The sequence below is a fragment of the Homo sapiens genome, chromosome 12, assembly GCF_000001405.40.
Source record: "Homo sapiens chromosome 12, GRCh38.p14 Primary Assembly".
Lineage (NCBI taxonomy): Eukaryota > Metazoa > Chordata > Mammalia > Primates > Hominidae > Homo > Homo sapiens.
The window spans coordinates 89,813,216-89,820,433 of record NC_000012.12 but is presented as its reverse complement, the minus strand read 5'-3'; the positions used below and the strand labels follow the sequence as shown (position 1 = coordinate 89,820,433).

The 7,218-nt window shown below is 37.3% G+C and overlaps 1 long non-coding RNA gene across 1 annotated transcript in view; it reads right to left on the bottom strand.

Moving 5' to 3' along the window:
- Positions 1-3,333: 3,333 nt before the first annotated feature.
- The window catches only part of LOC107984543 (uncharacterized), a 104,864-nt gene continuing 100,979 nt past the window's right edge, over positions 3,334-7,218 (bottom strand). The window contains exons 5-7 of the long non-coding RNA XR_007063399.1: positions 5,598-5,701; positions 4,482-4,543; positions 3,334-3,406 (exon numbers count right to left, since the gene is read on the bottom strand). This is a non-coding gene — a long non-coding RNA (uncharacterized LOC107984543). The remainder of the gene's footprint in view (positions 3,407-4,481; positions 4,544-5,597; positions 5,702-7,218) is intronic.

Genomic DNA, 7,218 nt, shown 5'->3' with positions numbered 1-7,218 from the left:
TCCACCCCAACCTCGGCCTCCCAAAGTGCTGGGATTACAGGAGTGAGTCACCACACCCAGCCAAGAATTGCTATTTTAATTATTATGAGACTGATAATAGCATGCACTGATGTTAAAACCAAAAGAAAAACTTTATCTGATAAGATATATACTGAAGTATTTATGAGTGAAATTAAACGACTTGTGGGATTTGTTTTAAAATACTATAGCCAAAAAAGTGGAGGTGAGCGGTGAGTAGATAATAAAGTGAGAAATAAATGAAGCATGATTGGCAAAATGCTAACTGTGGGAGATAGACAACAAGTACATAGAGATCATTATACTCTCCTATCTACTTTTATGCACATTTGAGGTTTTCTATAATAAAATTTTTTTTTTTTTTTTTTGTGACGGAGTCTCGCTCTGTCGCCCAGGCTGGAGTGCAGTGGCGCGATCTCGGCTCACTGCAGGCTCCGCCCCCCGGGGTTTACGCCATTCTCCTGCCTCAGCCTCCCGAATAGCTGGGCCTACAGGCACCCTCCACCTTGCCCGGCTAATTTTTTGTATTTTTAGTAGAGACGGGGTTTCACCGTGTTAGCCAAGATGGTCTCGATCTCCTGACCTCGTGATCCGCCCGCCTCGGCCTCCCAAAGTGCTGGGATTACAGACGTGAGCCACCGCGCCCGGCCAATAAAATATTTTTAATGCACATTTAGACGTGAAATAAGGCTGGATAAAATAAACCTAAATATATCAATAATGATTAACAGAAGATGATGTCTCTGAATTGTGGAATTCATGATAAATTTTGCTTTCATTTTTATACTTTTCTTCAAGTTAATTTTCTACAAATTTTATGTGTTACCTCTATAAGCACAAAAAGCAAGCACTTTAAAGTCAATATCAGCCTCGTATTTGGAGATGTCACCTAAGACCCTCCTACTCACCCAGGCATCCTATTGTCTGGCATTTAACAATGTTACATTATGAGGATTTATATCTTTCTTCTTAGACTCAGTTGGCATTCCTGAAGCAGTGACCCAAAGGAAAACCATCTTCTAAGTTAGGATGTTTCCTAGATGAGAGTTTAACCCAAAGTATAGCTAATATTAGCAGAGAAATGCCCTGCAATGCCTTTGTGGATTAATATAATAGATACCTGAAATACAAATATCAAGAGGACGAGAAAACAACCATCAACAAAAGACCATGCGTGAATCATGTTAAAGAGAGGAGAAGGCAAACAGGCAAATTATGACATGGATAATTATTACTAGTTAGCTAAATTAAAATTAAAAGGAACAATTATGGGACATTTCAGGTAACTCAAAAAAAAAAATTCTCCTGAAGTTACTGAATTTTGTGAAACTGGTCTGTTTTTACATCTAACACAATTATGTTATTAAGTTTCTGAATTTGTTAAAAGGACCAAAATCCTTGACTGGGCGGTGGCTCATGCCTGTAATCCTAGCACTTTGGGAGGCCAAAGTGGGTGGATGACTTGAGGTCAGGAGTTTGAGACCAGCCTGGCCAACATGGTGAAACCCTGTCTCTACCAAAAATACAAAAATTAGCTGGGCATGGTGATGTGTGCCTGTAGTCCCAGCTACTCAGGAGGCTGAGGCAGGAGAATTGCTTGAACCCAGGAGCTGGAGGTTTCAGTGAGCCGAGATCACACCACTGCATGCCACCCAAGGTGACAGAGCAAGACTCCGTCTCAAAAAAATAAATAAGTAAATAATAAAACCAATCATCAAAGAAATTCCAATGAAATATGACAAATTGTATACATATATCAACCTCTTCTCCCCACTCCTCAAATCCCTCTAAATTAACAGTGAAGGGAATAAAAAAGCACAAGCCTGTAAGAACAAAGAGACTATGATGACATCAACAAAATTTTAAAAGCTAGAAAGCAGATGGATGAGTGGTTATTGACCTAGCAGACTAGAAATATCTTGCAACTCACAATGCAGGACCCCAGGAAGGCTCAGAAACTGGAGGTATTTCTGAAAGAGTGGGTGTAGGTGGGGCTGAAAATAGAACAAACTGATCATCTATACAAGAAATTTATCTTCTCTGCAATTCCAAGCATTCACAGAACTGCCCTTCCTGACCTCAGGAAAGAGCTAGGGTTTTTACTCTCAAGAAAGACTAACTAGAAGAATTCTAGTTCAGGATGCACCAGGCATGTCTCAGGGCTGGGATATCACACTAGCATTTAATAATATTACATTATATTAACACCCAGTTAACTTATCATTCATATGAATGTAGAACAAAGAAATATAAGTTCCCTCCAAAAAACGTTTACCACAGAAAGCTACTAGAGGAAAGGTACTACCAAAATGGGGTAATAAACCAAGAAACCTGAAAACTCAAGATTCAGGAAATCAGGGATTTAACATAAGAGAGGGCTCCAGTTGACAGTTGTGCAATAGACCTAGCCTGCTCCTTCTAGGAGCAGAAAGACTGTGGGCTCTCAAATGAGTATTTCCAAGAAGCAAAGAAGAAAGAAAAAAAAATTAAAAAGTGACCTGATGTGTTTTAATATCTTGCAGGAGATTTACACCTCTGTAGGAAATTTTTGGCCAAATTAGCACAGAAGTACATAGAAAGCTAAGCAAAAGTAAGATAATTATTACCTCAGGGGAAAAAAATTCAATGTCTGAGAAAGGAAAGGTGATTCTTATTTACTACATGATTCAGCTGTAATAATGTCTGTATAGTCATGACAATGTAAACACTAAAGACATACAAATTTGCTATCTAGATAAGAAAATGGTGAGAAAAGGAAAGTGCAAAGATGTTTATATTGGTCATGGAAGAGTGGAGAAAAGATAAGCTTTCATCTTCCACAAAGGGAAGTAAAAAGATAATAAATAAAAGTGGAATAACTCGAGAAATAGCAACATAGGCAGGCTATTTAGAAAAAAATGTAAATTCCAGTAGAAATTGCTAAAACATCTATAAGAAGTAGGAATCTGAGGTATAGAAAGGTAGATTAACATAGCGTCTATTTTTGTGTTATAATCCTAGTAAAAATTTGACTTAAGCCATGTATGTGTGTATAGAGATAAAAATAAATAATTATTAAAATTACATTTCAAAATAACATAAACCAAAACCCACAGGCAAATTTACCAGTCCAAAATCTTTGAATCTAGTTCATTTTCTGCCACCTTCCAGGGTAAGATTTTTAACAAATGTGAAGTATATTTCTGGAAGTCAGGGGAAATATTACCATTTGTACTTTTTAGCATTTAGTAGTATATTAAGATTAAGTTGACGATATAGAATCCCTCCAGCTTATCTAATCAGAAAAGTCATTTATATAGAGAAATAGAAACTTACCTAGCAATGTATGGGCTGGAGGAGCAAGATTTAGCCATAGATTCCAGAAACGATCCTCAGATATAACAGAAATCTGGAGAACAGGGAAAATGCAAATGCTCATTCCAAGAACACACCACTCTATCCACAATCCACACCAGCAAAATGGAAGCTCCATGTCTCATCTCTCAACACCTGAGAATTTAGTACAGTTTCCCTTACTGCAGAAAACCAACTGTTCCTTGATCAAGTTTACCCTTAGCAAAAACAGAAGCACAGCTTCCCCAACACTTCTAACTTCCAAATCTTGCACATGAGTACCTCAGTGTATCCTGGCTGTAAGGGAACAAGCCCATCACATACCTTCCTTCCACTATTTCATATTCTTAGCCTTTGTTATGGTGATTTAAATTTTAAATTCTCTTGGGCATGGTGGCTCATGCCTGTAATCCCAACACTTAAGGACACTGAGGCGAGCAGGTCACTTGAGGCCAGGAGTTCGAGACCAACTTGGCTAACATGGCGAAACCCCGTCTCTACTGAAAATACAAAAAAATTAACCAAGCGTAATGGTGCACACCTGTAATCCCAGCTACTCTGGAGGCTGAGGCAGGAAAATTGCTTGAACCCAGGAGGCAGAGGTTGCGGTGAGCCACAACTGGGCCACTGTACTCCAGCCTGGGCAACAGAGCAAGACTCTGTCTCAAAAATAAAAAATAAAAATATTAGTGCTTACTGACAATGTACCTGGTCACACGAGAACTCTCATGGAGATGTACAAGGAGATTAATATTGTTTCCTTCTCTGTTAACACAACATCCATTCCACAGCCCATGGATCAAGAAGTAATTTCATAGAAAGTGATTCTTTTGATGGATGTGAGTAAAGTAAATTGAAAACCTTTTAAAAAGGATTTGCCTTTCTAGATACCATTGAGAACATTTGTGATTCACGGGAGAAAGTCAAAATATCAACATTAACAGGAGTTTGGAAGAAGTTGATTTTAACCCTCATGGATGTCTTTGAGGGGTTTAAGACTTCAGCAGCAGAAGTTACTGCAATGTAGTGAAAATAGAAAGAGGACTAGAATTAGCAGTGGAGCCTAAGGTGGTACTGAGTTTCTACAACTTCATGATAAAAATTTGAATAAATGAAGAGTTGCTTCTTACAGATAAGCAAGGAAACTGGTTTCTTCAGATGCAATCTACTCCTGGGGAAGATGCTGTGAACACTGTAGAAATGACAGCAAAGAATTTAAACATTTCATAAACTTATTAATAAAGCACTGGCAGGTTTGGAGAGGATTGATTCTAACTTTGAAAGAAATTCTACTGTGGGTAAAATACTACCTAAAAGAATTCCACGATACAGAGAAATCTTTTGTCAAAAGAAGAATTAATCAATGCAGCAAACTTCATTGCTGTCTTATGTTAAGAAATTGCCACAGCTACTCCAGCCTTTAGTAACCACCACCCTGATCAGTCAACAGCCATCAACATTGAGGCAAGACCCTTCATCATCAAAAAGATTACAATTCATTGAAGGCTCAGATGATCATTAGCATGTTTTAACAATAAAGTATTTTTTAACTAAGGTATGTTTTTTTAGACATACTTCTATTGCACATTTAATATAGTATAGTATAAACATAACTTTTATATGCGCTGGAAAACCAAAACTTTCATGTGACTCACTTGATTGCAATATTTGCTTTATGGTGCTAGTCTAGAACCAATCTACAATATCTCAAGGTATGTCTGAATAACATTATAGTTTCTAATTCACTAACAGGACCCAGATGATGCCATCTAAACATTCAGGTCTGGACTAAGGCGATCATAGTTATTAATTTCTTAACGTGGGACTGTTGAAAGAGTTCCTAAAACTCATCCTCTCAGAAGAGGTAGAATTTGACGATAAGTCAATGATTAGTAATAGTTAATAATATTATATATTTAATATAAGTATATATCACATTATAACATTCTGACTGTTATTCTGGAGACTTAGGTTTTACTTTAAAAGGTGACTACAGATGACCCTTGAAAAATGTGGGGGTTAGGGATGCAAACCCCTCCACACAGTAGAAAATGTATGTATAACTTTTGAGTCCCCAGAAAATTAACTACTAACAGCTACTGTTGACTGGAAGCCTTAATGATAACATAAACAGCCAGTTAAGACATTTTTTGTATGCTACATCTATCACATACTGTATTCTTACAGTAAAGATAAGAAAAGAAAATGTTACTAAGAAAATCATAAGGAAGAGAAAATATATTTACTATTCACTAAGTGGAAGTGGGTCATCCGAAAGGTCTTCATTTTCATTGTCTTCACATTGAGTAGGCTGAAGAGGAGGAGGAAGAGGAGGGGTTGGTCTTGCAGTCTGAGTAGATGGCAGAAGAAGAAGAAAATTTGCATATAAGTGGATCCTCAAAGTTCAAACCCATGTTGTTTAAGGGTTAGCTGTACAGTGTTTGAAGTAGGTTGTCAATTGACCAAAGGAAGCTACACATATATATAGCAAACTCATATATCCCATACATAAACACACATTTTTAAGTTAAATTAAAATTCCAGTGAAGTAGCTAAACAGTCTAAGTGTTCTTAAGAGTGAAGTGACATCCGCAGATGTTCATTCTCTCAGTTTTGTCAGTAAGAGACTGAATTGTCCCAGAAATAAGAACAATGTATTGGTCCTTGGCATATTTGCCCTCGGATCCATTCATTCCTCCCCTTTTTATTGTCTGTTTTGTTCTGTACGCCTGAGGGACTGACCCAAACTCCCATGTCAGCTGCTATTCTGGTGGGTTTAGCCAATGAGAAGTGTTGATGGAAGACACAAAAGGACGAGAGAGGACAGAATTCTCCCTCTCTACTTTGGGGAGCTTCTCTGACAACAGCTACATCTCCTCCTCCTTAGCTCCAACTACCCCTGGGAAAGCCCATCCCAGCTGCAGCTTTCTTCAGGCATGTCAGGCTCCTGGGCTCTGATAACATCTCCTTCTTCCTTGGTCTCTCCAGCGGTTGCTAATCTTTTACATGACCTGTGTAAGCAATTCCCCATATTAAAGTATACTATTTCTGTTTTCCTGATTGGACCCTGAATGATAAAAATTATTACATAAATTATTTTAAGTTAGTCTACAGTTCTTCTTGGGGCAGGAGATAGTTGATACTTGGCTTATGATTCTCCTGAGTAATCAACTGCAGTATTTTCTTTTTTTGAAAAAAAAAAAAAAGTTTACTGGCTTATTCTAGTGAGGTAGAGTGGATCAAATAATTCATTGAGATGTGAAAGGGAATTTTTTACTGGAATAATAAAAGGGCCTGTATAAGGGCTTACACAGAAAATAAAAGCCAGTCATCCTCCTCTGTTCAAATTGGTGGTTCTCAGCCTGGCCTTCCGTTATAATTATCTGGGGAGCCTTAAAAACCATCCCAACCTAGAAGATTTTGTTTCAAATAATCAAGAACAATGCATCAGTAATACCTGGAACTAGTTAGTAATGCAAAATTTGGTCCCCCGCTCTGGAATTACTGAATCAGAAAATTGTGACTGGCGTAAATACCTTTTAACAAGCCCACCAGGTACACTAAACTTTGAGAACCACTATTTTAAAACTACCCAAGTGATTGTCATAGGCAGCCAAATTTGAAAACTACTGGTTTAGGAATAGATTGCTCATAAGATAATAACCTTAATTCAATATACATTTATTAAATATGTATTATGTTTTGTAATTTCCTGTTGCCCAACAAAAATTAAAAATTGAGACCATTAATAAAATTTGACACTATGCATAAAGATGATGTATTAAAAGAAAAAAGTTGAAGAAGCCAGAAAAATATAGTTACACAAAACACAAAAAGATAAATGAATCAAGAAACTTCCTCTGAATT